Genomic DNA, 14,380 nt, shown 5'->3' on the forward strand with positions numbered 1-14,380 from the left:
GACCTCCCCCACCCCATCCTATCGAGGACCCTGGCACGAACATACTCATAATTATTTGTCACCCTCACTGAATCAGGTGTTCCATTTCTCCAGGAGCTCTTAGACTGATTGAAGAAGGAAGGGTGGGGAGCAGTGAGGAAGCCTCAGGAACAGATGTGAATCTCAAAGCTAGCGGACTTATTCTATTCGCCTTCTGATCTATGTTGCCCAGGCTGGTCTCGAACTTCTGGCTCAAGCAATCCTTCTGCCTCGGCCTCCCAAAGTGTTGGGATTACAAACGTGAGCCACCGCGCCTGGTCAGAAGCCACTTTTTTTATATAAAAGTTGTATAACCCTAATAATATAATCCTCTGATCTCTGGCCACTGTTGCCATTCCTAAAAATATCCGTAGGGGAAGCTGGATGGCTTGTGAGGGATTCCAGGGATCCAAAGTGATTCGAAAAACTAAAGAGGCACCATTTGTCCCCATTGGAATGGCAGGTTTTGCAGTAGTTGCTGCATACGGATTATACAAATTGAAAAGCAGGGGAAATACTAAAATATCACGTCACCTGATCCACATGCGTGTGGCAGTCCAGCTTTGTTGTAGGAGCAATGACTGTTGGTATGGGCTATTCCATGTATCCGGATTTCTATGCAAAACTTAAACCTTAGAAGAAGAGATGTTGTCTTTGTCTTGTTGGAGGAGCTTGACTCATTAATGAGTCATCTCATTATTGAAGTTACATGTTTATGTTGAACATAAATTATTTGGGTAGGTTCAGATGATACTACGGTATTTTGAATAGTCGCTTCCTTTCGTGTAGGCTTGATTTGCCTGGTGACCAAATTATTAGTGACTAGTTCACTAACTAGATCATTCCGGGGAGCCAAGTTAACACACAAGAAACACGTCACCTAAATGCGCTTGATGGTGTTAAAATGTCCAACTTCTTAAACTGTTAAGATGAAATTAATACTAAGGAAGATAGCAGGCCAATCCTGAAGTACTCCCAGTTTGCTGCAGAATCTTGCATGTTTCGAATGTTAAGAGTCCAATTTACTCCAGTTAATTTAACTTTTTTTCTGTCTGTCTTGTGGACTGGTTGGCTCTTTTAGAACTCTTTAAAAAAAAGTGCATGAAATATAACTTGTAAAGCCTCCTACAACTGACAGTATTGTGTGCGTGTGTTTAAACCGAATCTAGAAACCTTACAACAGACCTGCATAGTATTAGTATTGATTAAAGAACCACAATTGTAAACATGAGAAAACCTTAATTATGGATTTCAGTTTAGCACTTTTGTAATTGCAGAATTACATTTTTGCTGCTGTTATATTAGAAGAATTTTTCAGTGTCATCTTGAAATAGAAATGTGTATTTTAAGCACCCATGCAAAGGTAAATGAAAAACACTTCTTTCTCCATAAGAATCGTAAACATTAAACTAAAAAAATTACCTATGATGGAATTGATTTACAAGTACCCACTTTGATTTAATGGAATTAAATTTATAGATGATATAAGCTACTTCCACATGAAATTTCAAAAATATCAATATAATGACCAAACAGGAATGGAGACATGAAATTATTTATTTATTTATTTATTTTATTTATTTTGAGACGGAGTCTCGCTGTCGCCCAGGCTGGAGTGCAGTGGCGCGATCTCGGCTCACTGCAGGCTCCGCCCCTTGGGGTTCCCGTCATTCTCCTGCCTCAGCCTTCAGAGTAGCTGGGACTACAGGCTCCCGCCACCTCGCCCGGCTAATTTTTTTTTTGTATTTTTAGTAGGGACGGGGTTTCACCGTGTTAGCCAGGATGGTCTCGATCTCCTGACCTCGTGATCCGCCCGCCTCGGCCTACCAAAGTGCTGGGATTACAGGCGCGGGCCACCGCGCCCGGCCGAAATTATTTAAAATAAAATGTCCACATGAATATTTTAAATACTCAGTCATAACTATATTAGAAAACATAATGAAGGTGTCCAATGTTTGCCTAGAATTACTGTGATACTTACGTCAAAGTCAAACAAAACATAGAGATGAATCTCTAAATTTAAAGCAATTGATTTAGAAAGTAAGAATTACAATTCAGGGCATACACACAGATGAGACAGGTGGGCGTCTTCAATATATCTGAAGTACAAAGAGAAGGTTGGGGCTTTTATAAAAAGGAGAAATGTTACACGTTGTTTTGAAAGAAATTTTATTGGTTTTAGTAAGGTTTGGGGGAGCTTGCAAGCTAGGATTGGTGAGAGATGGCAGCAGGTAAAATTAGTCTTAGAGTCACAGTAGGTTGTTTCAGCAGTTGTTAGATAAAACTGGTCTCCGTTTACAAGAGGCAGTTTCAGCAGTCAGGCTTGCAGAGAGTTACCTTTTTGGAGACAGAAGGTCTCCCTGTGTTGCTCAGGCTGGTCTCCAACTCCTGATCTCAAGTGATCCTCCCACCTCAGCCTCCAAAAGTGTTAAGATTACAGGCATGAGCAACCATACCCAGCTCATTTCTTTTATTTATTTTATTTTAATTAATTAATGTATTTATTTATCTTTTGAGATGGAGTCTCGCTCTGTCGCCCAGGCTGGAGTGCAGTGGCACGATCTCGGCTCACCGCAAGCTCCGCCTCCCGGGTTCACACCATTCTCCTGCCTCAGCCTCCCGAGTAGCTGGGACTACAAGTGCCCACCACCACGCCTGGCTAATATTCTTTGTATTTTTAGTAGAGACGGGGTTTCACCATGCTGGCCAGGATGGTCTCGATCTCCTGACCTCGTGATCCACCGCCTCGGCCTCCCAACTCATTTCTTTTATCATATACACACATATAGGTTATGTTTACCAACCATCATATTGATGTGAGTCCACAATTCAATACTTGCTGGTTTATGATATATAATTTATGTTAAATTTTGACATATACTCATGGTATATTATTTGTTTTATTCTTAATAAAATAAAAATGAGTTTTAAAAAGAAGAGGCCAGGACTGGGCGCGATGGCTCATGCCTATAATCCTAGCACTTTGGGAGGCTGAGGTGGGCTGATCACTTGAGGTCAGGAGTTCAAGACCAGCCTGGAAAACATGGAGAAACCTGGTCTCTACAAAAAATATGAAAATTAGCCAGGCATGGTTGCGCACACCTGTATTCCCAGCTGGGAAGATGGCTTGAGCCTGGGAGGTGGATGTTGCAGTGAGCTGAAATCGCACCGGTGCACTCCAGCCTGGGTGACAGAGTGAGATCCTGTCTCAAAAAAAAAAAAAAAAAAGAAAGAGGCCAGTCTAAAATTCATTTGTAAGTTGTTGGCATTACTGAGATAACCTCCCAATGTCTTCTCAACTTTTATTTGAGTCTGATACTCACAGCTAGGCTCCATGAGTTTTGTTTTTTTTCTTTTCTCTTTGGATCTCAGGTGCACAGAATTGGATTAATCATAATCCTTAGTTATTACACACTCTCCAATGTCATCAGTGTGCTAATCAAACAGAATTACATTTTATAACCAGAAAGCAGGTTTTTTTTCCTTTCTTTTTTTTTGTCCCAATATCTCTCACTTTGATCCTGAACACAAGTCAATTCATGCCTTCCCTAGTTACTCAAAGGTTATTGAAAGTACTGTACAGGCCAGGTACGGTGTTCTCATGCCTGTAATCTCAGCATTTTGGGAGGCTAAGGTGGGAGGATCACTTGAGCCCAGGAGTTCAAGACCAACCTGGGCAACATAGTAAGACCCTGTCTCTACAAATGTTCTTTTTAAAATTAGCCAGGTGTGGTGGGGAGCACCTGTAGTCCCAGCTACTCAGGAGGTTGAGGTGGGAGGGTAGCTTGAGCCCAAGAAGTTGAGACTGCAGTGAGTGGTGATCATGCCACTGCACTCCAACCTGGGCAACAGAGCAAGACTCTGTCTCAAATAACAAAACAAAACAAAACAAACAGTGTTATACAGGTAGTAATTTAAAGCCACAGGTTTGATGGCATTTAGTTTATCTCAAAATGGTAACTAGAAAGTCCAGGTCCAAGTCATGATTTGAAGCTTCCAATTCATTTAAAATGAAAATTTCTCTCCCCTTTCCTAGTTAAGCCCACTATAGATGGGTACTTCAGTCTGGAGGGGGGTGATGACTTTGTTTCCTTCCCTGCTTCCTCCTCCCACAGATAGACAGCTGCTCTTTCTGACCTCTCCCCGATTAGGGGGGAAGGATTGGAAGTGAGAGGGGAGGGAAAGGAAAATTCTTACTTGACTGGTGTTTTCATAAGATGGTTTCATGTTCTTTGGGCCCAGCAGGTGTTTGAAGCTGATTCTGTGTATGTGTGTTGTGGATTCTTCACATATACCACCTCCATCGCTGGAGACGCCTCTCCACAGCTCCCTTGAATAGCGATGCAACCTCCTCCATCTTGCTGGTTTTTTCTCAGCTCCTTATTGCTCCTCACACACACAGATTTGATATGAGATTCATAGATTACTAACTAGGGTAGCTCATGGAATACATTCATAGGAGCAGTGATTACATGAACTCATATGTGCAAGCGTGTTTTATAAGTTCTAAACTCCAATGCAATTGCTAGTTACAGCAAATGGTTCAGAATGTTGACTCTAGCATCAAACTAGCAGTGCAACTTGTGTATGTTATCTAAATTGTCTGTGCCTCACGTTTCCTGAGCTCTAAAATAAGGATAATTAAAGTGTGAGGATCCAGTGGATAACAGAAGAAATCACTTAGACCAGTGCCTGGCCCTTGGTCACCGCACCATGAATAGTAACTGTCATTCTACCACCTTTATCATGATCACACATTCTTTCACTGCCATTGACTCGTTTAGATGAGCTTGAAAATCAACCAGCAGGAGTACTGCCATATTAACCACTGACTCTGACAAGGATGGAACTGGATTCTCAAGAAGGCATGAACAAAGTGCTATAGAGGCATTCATTATTACCCCAGGGTAAGGATTTAGGAGCTGACAGATCTGATTCATTGAGAAGATGACATTTTACCCTGGCACGAACCAAGGAGTAGTCAAAAAGATAAGAGAAATAGCTTTGAAAGGTATTTCTTAGTACCATGGACAGGGACTGGTTGACACTGGGTTTGGGAAATGAAGTGGGGAAAGATTCCTGGGATTATGCCTTCGTGGCAGGGAAAGAGAACACTGAGGAATCCAGATTCCTGGGGGGAAGAAAAAAGGAAAGGACATAGCTGACTGGACAGAAAGGAGGCCTGGACATAGAGGGGCCTAGAAACAGTCCACTGTAACCAGAGATACTTGGGCCAGCAAGACCCAGGAGAGAGGATCCAACTTGGGAAATAAACTATGTGGAGTGTCTGAGAACACCCCTCTCCAAGAATCCAGGATTTTCTGGGATTATGAAAGGAATAACCTCAGGCTACACAGTGAACTTGGAGATGGTCACTGCTGGGGCCAATTCATTGTAACTCCAAGTACTTTTGCTTTTTTTTTTTTTTGCATCTTTATTTATTTCTTTCCTTCTTTCTAACTCTCTTCTTCCTTTCTTCATTTTTCCATTTCTTCTTTTCTTTCTTTTTAGAGACAGGGTGTTGCTCTGTTACCTGGGCTGGAGTGCAGTGGTGTGATCATAGCTCACTGCAACCTTGAGTTCCTGGGCTCAAGCTATCCTCTGGCTTCAGCTTCCCAAGCAGCTGGGATGATAGGTGCACATAACCACACCTGGCTGTTTTTTGTTTGTTTGTTTGTTTTTTGTTTTATAGAGATGGGGGCTTGCTATGTTGCCCAGGCTGGTCTCAAACTCCTGGCTTCAAGCAATCCTCCCGCATCAACCTCCCAAAGTGTTAGGATTACAGGCATCAGTCACCATGTCTGGCCCTTATTTGCCTTTTTGAAGGCATATTATTTGTCTACAAAACCATCTGGGCCTGCTGTTTTCTTTGTAAGAAGATTTAATCTCTTAAAATAATTACAGGCTAATCTAGATTCTCATTTCTTCTTTAGTCGGTATTTGTAAATTGTATTTTTCTATGATTTGTTGATTTTTAATTTAGTTTTAGGCTTCATTACTGAAGTTGTTCATAGGATTATCTTATTATCTTTTCTATTTTATGAACCATATAATTATAGGCTTATAGTTGGTCCATATTATGGTCCATACAATGTGGTCCATGTATAGATATAGTTTTCTCCCCAATTCCCACTATTGTGCATTAGTGCTTTATGTTTTAAAAAATAAAACAGTGATGTTTATTGGTCATCCCTATGGTACTAAACAGGCCCATGATCCCAGGAAGACTGTCATATTCTGCTTCCAGATTCCAATAACAAACTGGATTTCACAAGCATTTATTAAGCATTTTTATGTGTTCTATATCAAGTACTAGGGATATAGAATTCAGTAACTGTAGGTCAACAAATGTCCCTGCCCTCAGGGGCTCACAGCCAGGTCTCCTGAGAGCAGATTGAAAAGGAAGCTCAGTATTTCTCTGGCAGGCCAGCAGGTCGGAAGTGATTGGGGTCTTTGCCACTCTGGCCCCATTTGTTGGTAGCCTGGCCAGCCAGCGAATCCTCTGCATGGTCTCCTGTGAGTCTCTGGACGTTCTCTCTGGCATCGCTGTAGTCCAGGCAAGCAAGGAGATTAATCACCAGGCCAGTGAGCAACAGCCCACCTTCCCATTCTCTGCTTTCCAAGGGAGGACTCTGGGAGAAGCCCAGGAAGGCCAAGGAAGGAGGGGTGAAAACAATGACCCTGCCTGGGCACTGCCCCACTCAGCCAGGCTGGGCACCCCTAGGCTGGATGAACAGCACCCAGAGAGGGAGGGTGAGGAATCACTCACTTCTACCATCCACTCAGACCCTCGCACTAAGCACACAGGCAGAGAGAGGGCAAGAGGAGGAGGGGCTGCAGCCTCTAACTTCTCTGCAAGGAGCTTACCTCTCTCCTGACTGTCCAAGGCAGTCAAGCTCTGCTCACTCATTCCTGGCAACATCAGGAATGTGCATTACCTGATCACTTCTGTAGCCCAGACAGCCCCAAGCCCCCTTTGTACAGCATCATAGTTCCCCCAAGCATGGAAGTATTTGTCTGAATTTTTTGTAATTGGCTTCTTTCATGTCAGAGTAGGCTTTCCACATGTCTTTAGTCCCTGGAAAGGAAAGAAAATGATCAAAACAATTATATACTGGGAAAATAGAGGAATGAACAGTTTTCTTCTCACTACTTTCCTCCCGAAGATTTCAGCCTTCAACAAAGCCCTTGGAAATTATATTGGCTTGAAATAAATATTCTTCTACTTTTCACTTCTCTGGGTTAATGTAATGAGAATTGTACTTGGTGTAAGTTTCATTCTGTTTGATTCCATTCTAAGTTCTGTTATTACTTTGTTTTAACCATGTGTGATGCACCTAAAGAAGAGATGAAATGGTCCTTAAGGGATGTTTCATTGTACAATGAACTTCTACCTGGAAGGACCCAGGGAACCCTCAGTTCCCTGGTGTGAGAACACAGGGGATTCTGAGGGAGGCTGCAGACATATGGCGCTCCTAACCTAGTCAATGAGAGAAATTCATGCCTGTAGGTAGAGTGAGGACAACTTGGTCCTGAATACATCTGAATGTCCAGGCTATAATTAGAAACTGACATCTGTCAGAATTCAGTCAGCAAGTGATAAAGGTGAGTTACCTAAGAAAGCTTTATACTACTGGGTAATCAAATTCAGAAAAAGGACAACTGACCCACTAGTTCAGAACCTCAATGTCCTCCCCAATGAAATGGAGGAGTATTGCCTGCCTCACAGTGATTATGCAGAAGAGCAGAGAAAATACATGTATGATGTCTAGAACATTGTAGGTGGCCAATATATTATCATTTCACTTCTCTGGTCCTTAGGAAAGGTGGCATAAGAAAAAAGAAGGGCTAAACTAAGATGAGGAGCAGGGAGTTACGGACTGAAGGGATCTGATCAAGCTAGAATTAAGTGACGAAGATTTTTTAGAAAATTAACTGATTACGGAAAAGGGGGAACTCAAATATAGAGTTATAATCATGGTTTATATAATTTCTCTATTAGATAACTCATCTTCATTTTATGCATTTATTACTCCTGGTGTTAAATTGATTGCTTTTATTGAGAGTTTATGACATTTTTACTCTACTTATTCCTCTGAGTTACTGACTTAAATGGCTCCTTGATGTTCAGATTGGCTTAATAAGTACTTCCAAAATTCCTGGCACATTTTATCACTTTCAGCAGCAAAACAAGAGGTAGTGGTTCTCAACCTTTGCTGTGCATAAAAATCTACCGAGGTGCTTAGCAAAGGCAAGATTTCTAGGCTCTGTCCCAAGAGACTGTGGCTGCTGGGGGCAGGGGGTAGGGTATGGACCCGGGAATCTTCATTTCATTTCACAAAGCATCCCAGAATCCAGGTGATTCTCACGCAAGTGGTCCCAGAACAACCCTTTGAAAAATATTAACCTAAGGAATGAAAGATATTTGTAGTTGAGTGTGTGAACATGTAAATAGGATTAAAAGCAAATCCTTAAAACCATTTTTCAGAGACTCAGAAAAATAATAATACCTGAAATTTAAAATACTGCATTCTGAAAACAAAATTTTGCCACTTTATTATGGCTAGTGGGGTATATTTCTCCCTCTCTCTCTCTCTCTGTCTCTCTAGATGGAGTCTTGCTCTGTCTCCTAGGCTGGAGTGCAGTGGTGTGATCACAGCTCACTGCAACCTCTGCCTCCTGAGTTCAAGCAATTCTTCTCCCTCAGCCTCCCGAGAGGCTGGGATTATAGGCGCATGCCACCACACCCGGCTAATTTCTGTATTTTTAGTAGAGACAGGATTTCGCCATGTTGGCCAGGCTGGTCTCGAACTCTTGACCTCAGGTGATCTGCCCACCTCAGCCTCCCAAAGTGCTGGGATTACAGGTGTGAGCCACTGTGCCCAGCCCTCGGGGTATATTTCTCTTGCTAGCAGTTTCCTGGCCATATATAAGCCCCAGTAGAACCACCATCAAGGTAATTCACTGTAGGTTTTACTGGGATAAGTGGAGCTAGACTTACCTTCCAAAGGCACCACATCCTATTTGCCATTTCTTAGATAAAGGATGAGCTATGTGTTCACAAATCCGAAACTCTTGTTTTGAAAGCAGCAGAGTACCTTGATTAAGAGCAAGTTCTGCAGAGCAAGACTGCCTGGGTTAATCCTGCTCTGCTTTGGAACTTCTTTACGTATCTTGGGGTTTGTGTGTGTGTGTGTGTGTGTGTGTGTGTTAGTGTGTGTGTGTGTGTGTGTGTGTTAGCTTCTCTGTTAAGGGATAATGCTGCTTGCATCATAGGACTAAATGATGGAAACCAATTCATTAGTACATTTAAACAGTGCCTAGTACGTATTAAAATCTCAGCTAAGCTTGGTTGTTTTTATGGGGACGGTTGGCTCCGTTCAGCTTCCCCATGGACTCGCCTCACACTTTTGATCCACCTGCTTCCTGGCTTCCCAGGAGACATAGACATGAACTGTCCCAGATTTCCCACTAGGGGGCAGTAGAGCCCCACCGGTATTATGGGAACATGCACCCCTCAACTCCACATCTCTCTCATGGTCCTGCTGAAAAGAGGCAGCTCACACCTTATGCGACCTCGGCTGGAGGATCCTCATAGAAGAGTGTCAAAGCTGTCCAGAAAAGCATGAGGAACCACGCTTATGAAAAACCATGCCCCTTCTCTATCCATCTGTGGCATCACTAGCACCTTTGCCCAGTGGGGATGTGGCCTCTGCTCAGCTGCATCCTGGGGGCAGCCAGAAGCAGCCTCCTGCCCCCTATCCTGTGGACCTCACCTTGGCCAGCTGCCTTGAGGAATGTTAACCATCCTTGGCTGCTGACACCCAGGACCAGGGAGCAGAAAATGATGCCAGTGGAGAGCTTCATCCTGCTGCAGGGCCAAGGAAACACAACCAAGGATAATACACATTCTGTTTCAAGTTTTTATTTTTTGTAATGTTAGTCCATTCTTTCATTCCAAGAAAAAAACCCACTCGGTTTTACACACGCACACACACACACACACACACACACACAGGTGTATGTGTATAGATAAAAGATAGAAGGTCAGAGGGTCTACGTCTCCATTTCCATTTGTCTCATTGGAATCCCAGTATCTGACAGAAGAGGAGCAGTGACCCAGGATAAAGCAAATAGACAAAAGTCACACCATGTTTGAGAATCATTATTTTAGATTAGAGCCTGCCAAAATTAGGAATTATGCCTCTTTCTGGGTTCTGAGCATATTTTAGGCACAGTAAAATGAAAGTTATAAGGCAGATAGCTGTCAGAGGATTTCCCTGTCCCTTTGGTTCTTATCTAAGGCAATGCTAAGCAACATTTGAATATTCCCTACACAACTTCCATTCCTTGGAAAAGGTGGGATTCCCTGTGGTCAGTGTAGTATCTGAGCTGGCGTGGCTCACTTGGTCCCAGGAGTAGACAGTAGAAGAGGGGGAAGAGGAGGGGAGTTGTCAACCATCCACAGCCACTGGTCATGGTGTACTTGGAGGAGCTGCTTCATAAAGCAGGGCATGTGATGTCCAGACCTCCTTTTTCCTACTCTTCTTCAGGCAGAAATTGAGGGCCAATGATCACATCCTGTCACAATTATTTTACTCCCTTTGGAACCATTCAATGCTGGAAATCTACTTTCTCGTTTTATTCAAGTCATTCTCTTCTTTGATAGAAGTTGATATGGTTTGGATCTGTGTCCCCACCCAAATTTCATGTTCAATTGTAATTCCCAATGTTGGGAGTGGAGCCTAGAGGGCGGTGATTGAATCAGGAAGGCTGTTTCTCATGAAAGGTTTAACAGCATCCCCCTTGGTACTGTCGTCGTGATAGTGAGTGAATTCTTTTGAGATCTGGTTATTTAAAAGTGTGCAGTACCTCCCCCCTCACTCTCTTTTGTCCTTGCTCCCACCATATGAGATGCCTCACTCCCGCTCTGCCTTTGCCATATTGAAAGTTTCCTGAGGCTTCCCCAGAAGCAGAAGCCACTATGCTTCCTGTACAGACTAAAGAACCATGAACCAATATAACCTCTTTTCTTTATAAAGTACCCAGTTTCAGTCATTTCTTTATGGCAGTATGAGAACGGACTAATACAGAAGTATTAGAAAGCAAGTGGCGTGGAGACACTGGCTCATGCTTATAATACCAGCACTTTGGGAGGCTGAGGCAGAAGGATCACTCGAGGCCAGGAACTCAAGACCAACCTGGGAAACATAGCAAGACCCCATCTCCACTATATATCTGTATATATATTTTTTAAATTAGCGGGGTGTGGTAGTATGCACCTGTGGTCCCAGCTACTCAGGAGGCTGAGGCAGGAGGACTGCTTGAGCCCAGGAGTTGGAGGCTATGGTGAGCCATAATCACACCACTGCACTCTAGCCTGGGTGACAAAGTGACACACTGACTCACAGGAAAAAGAGCAAGAAAGCGAGTATGATTTCTAGATACCAAGAGGAACTCCTCACAGGGACTTTGACAAGCCTTGCCTGTTTTCTTCCTTTGTTACTTAATGTATTCTGCCTTCCGGGAAGGTACACGCAGTTTCTTATGGTGCCAAGCTGAGAATAATAGACAATAACGGCAGTCAGTTCTTTTCACTTGTTTCTCCTGAAAAAGAAAGATTTCCTGTCATGATATCAGAGTCCCCAGGCCTTAAAGGGATTTTCCAACAGTCTCTTACAAGTGACTACGTGTGCTGGTTTGCATGAGATCAGTGTCTATTGTCCAAGCTTAATAGTGGCACATCTTTTCATTGTCTACAATGGCCTGGATTGAACAGTAAATCAGATGGTAGCACTACTCTGATAACCTTGTGTGACCAGGCTGATTGAGAGGCCCAAGACACCTCCATTCTTTTAAGTTACAATTAATTTAAGTAGAAGAGGAGAATACTAAGGCTTAATTCTATTAGGAATTAGAAAAACAAAAATCAGAAAAGCCCAAAAGTCCACAGGTATCATGACTAAGAATGACATCTCAGACCTAAGCCCCAGTCTTAGAAGACCAGCGGGAAGAACTTTATATTCCCTAAATATAAAATGAAGAAAATAATGATACAAAATCACTACCCTCAAAAAATTCACATTTAATGAATCCTAGTTACCAGAATAGTAGATATAGGAAGGATGCAGAAAAATACAACTCCCTTGTAGGGTTGTTGTGAGGATTAAATGATTAATGCTGACAGGGACTTGGGTTAATTCTGGGCACGTGTAAAGCATTTAATTAATTTTAGAGCTTCCACCTTAACCAAGAAAACGCATAATAATTTATATTTTCCAGGAGACAGAAATATTAATTACAATATTGTTACCAAGGCAACCTATTATTAAGACATTAGTAAGTAAGATTACCAATTAGAACTACAGTTATAAGGACCAAGGTTTATTTTCACATAGTGTCAGAGACGTTTGAACCAGAGCGACTCTATTTGGCATGAGGGCTAGGAAAATGAGGCTGAGATTGCTAGGCTGCGTGCTCAGAAAGTTAGGCATTCCTAACCTCTAGATGTTTACAGTTAAGGGAACAAATTCGTAATGTTTACTAAACAGACCCAGACTTGGGAGTGTGCAAATATCCCAATATTTGGAGAACAAAGACATTCCTAATTTTTCTTTGAAGATAATAACATTGGCCGGGCGCGGTGGCTCACGCCTGTAATCCCAGCAATTTTGAAGGCCCAGGTGGGTGGATCACGAGGTCAGGAGTTCGAGAGCAGCCTGGGCAAAATGGTGAAACCCCATCTCTACTAAAAATACAAAAAGCAAAATTAGCTGAGTGTGGTGGCACGCGCTTGTAGTCCGAGCTACTTGGGAGGCTGAAGCAGGAGAATTGCTTGAATCCAGGAGGTGGAGGTTGCAGTGAGCCGTGATTGTGCCACTGCACTCCAGCGTGGGTGACAGAGTGAGACTCCATCTCAAAAAAAAAAAAAAAGATAATAATATTGATTCTTGCAAAATATAGTAATTAAGAAAACAGGGCTGGGTGCGGGGGCTCACGCCTGTAATCCCAGCACTTCGGGAGGCCAAGGCGGTGGATCACCTGAGGTCAGGAATTCAAGACCAACCTGCCCAACATGGCAAAACCCTGTCTTTACTAAAAATACAAAAATTAGCTGTGCGTGGTGGTGGGCACCTGTAATCCCAGCTACTTGGGAGGCTGAGGCAGGAGAATCGCTTGAACTTGGTGGGCAGAGGTTGCAGCGAGCTGAGATTGTGCCACTTCACTACAGCCTAGGCAACAAAGCAAGACTTTGTCTCAAAAAAAAAAAAAAAAGAAAGAAAGAAAGAAAAGAAAAAGAAAAAGAAAAGAAGAAATCTGTTATCACAAACCCTTGTAGCAGAACACATCTCCCCATGTATACAAGCAATTGTGCCTAGGGTGGACACGTTCCTTTTCTGACTTTCAGGAACGTTCTACTCTGTCTATGGAGTAGCTGTCCTTTTGTCACTTTACTTTCTTAATAAATGTGCTTTTACTTTGCACTGTGGACTCGCCCTGAATTCTTTCTTGTGCAAGATCCAAGAACCCTCTCTTGGGGGTCTGGATCCTGAGCCCTGTCCTGTAACAATAGGACATAAAATCATCTTTGAAGTCTGGGTGAAAGACTTGAAAGAAAAATCTTTCGGTAATCTCACGAGTCAGCTAGGGAAAAGGTGCTGAGGCTGAACTCCATCAGACACACACGCTGGGTGGTCAGTGGTATGGAATTTCTGGGTTCTTGCCCTACCTCTCTGCTTCTAGCCAGTGATGTGATTTTGGGAAGGTCTCTCCATCTCCAAAAGGCTCAGTTTTCTGAGCCTTTTAGATCTATTAAATCACTGGAGTAGACTACAGTATATAATGTTTTTAGTCCCTATTTCTTCTACCGTTTTCTCTCTCTCTTTCTTTCTTTCTTTCTTTTTTTTCTTTTCCTTTTTCTTTCTTTCTTTTTTTTTTTTTTTGAGACAGGGTTTTGCTATGTTGCCCAGGCTGGTCTCAAACCCCTGGGCACAAAGTGATCCTCCTACCTTGGCTTTCCAAAGCGCTGCAATTACAGGCATGAGCCACCATGCCTGGCCTTTTTCTAATTTTTTTTTTAATTGAGGTGAAATTCACCAAATATAAAATTAATTATTTTAAAGTTTACAATTCGGGGTATTTAGTTAATTCATAATGTTATACCCACCTCTATCTAGTTCCAAAACATTTTCATCACCACAAAAGAAAATCCTGGACTTCCCTCTCCCTCTCCCTCTCCCTCTCCCTCCTCTCCCTCTCCCTCCTCTCCCTCTCCCCACGGTCTCCCTCTAATGCCGAGCCGAAGCTGGACTGTACTGCCGCCATCTCGGCTCACTGCAACCTCCCTGCCTGATTCTCCTGC

General features: G+C 42.8%; 2 pseudogenes across 1 annotated transcript, besides 1 other annotated feature; one reads left to right on the top strand and one right to left on the bottom strand.

The window, feature by feature from the left end:
- Positions 47–96: an enhancer, noted in NCBI's record as "active region_4491". NCBI's record gives its function as "activates an Ori minimal core promoter by ATAC-STARR-seq in GM12878 lymphoblastoid cells {active_cell/tissue: GM12878}" and the evidence as "EXISTENCE:reporter gene assay evidence [ECO:0000049][PMID:35858748]".
- HIGD1AP5 (HIG1 hypoxia inducible domain family member 1A pseudogene 5) lies at positions 407–850 on the top strand (annotated as a pseudogene).
- Positions 851–6,280: 5,430 nt separating this feature from the next.
- Positions 6,281–9,941, bottom strand: SAA3P (serum amyloid A3, pseudogene; annotated as a pseudogene). Its single transcript, NR_026576.2, has 3 exons — positions 9,795–9,941; positions 6,886–7,096; positions 6,281–6,564 (listed from the first exon to the last, which is right to left on the bottom strand). The product of NR_026576.2 is annotated as a serum amyloid A3, pseudogene (transcript).
- Positions 9,942–14,380: the final 4,439 nt, after the last annotated feature.

This window comes from Homo sapiens, chromosome 11, assembly GCF_000001405.40.
Source record: "Homo sapiens chromosome 11, GRCh38.p14 Primary Assembly".
NCBI classification, from domain to species: domain Eukaryota; kingdom Metazoa; phylum Chordata; class Mammalia; order Primates; family Hominidae; genus Homo; species Homo sapiens.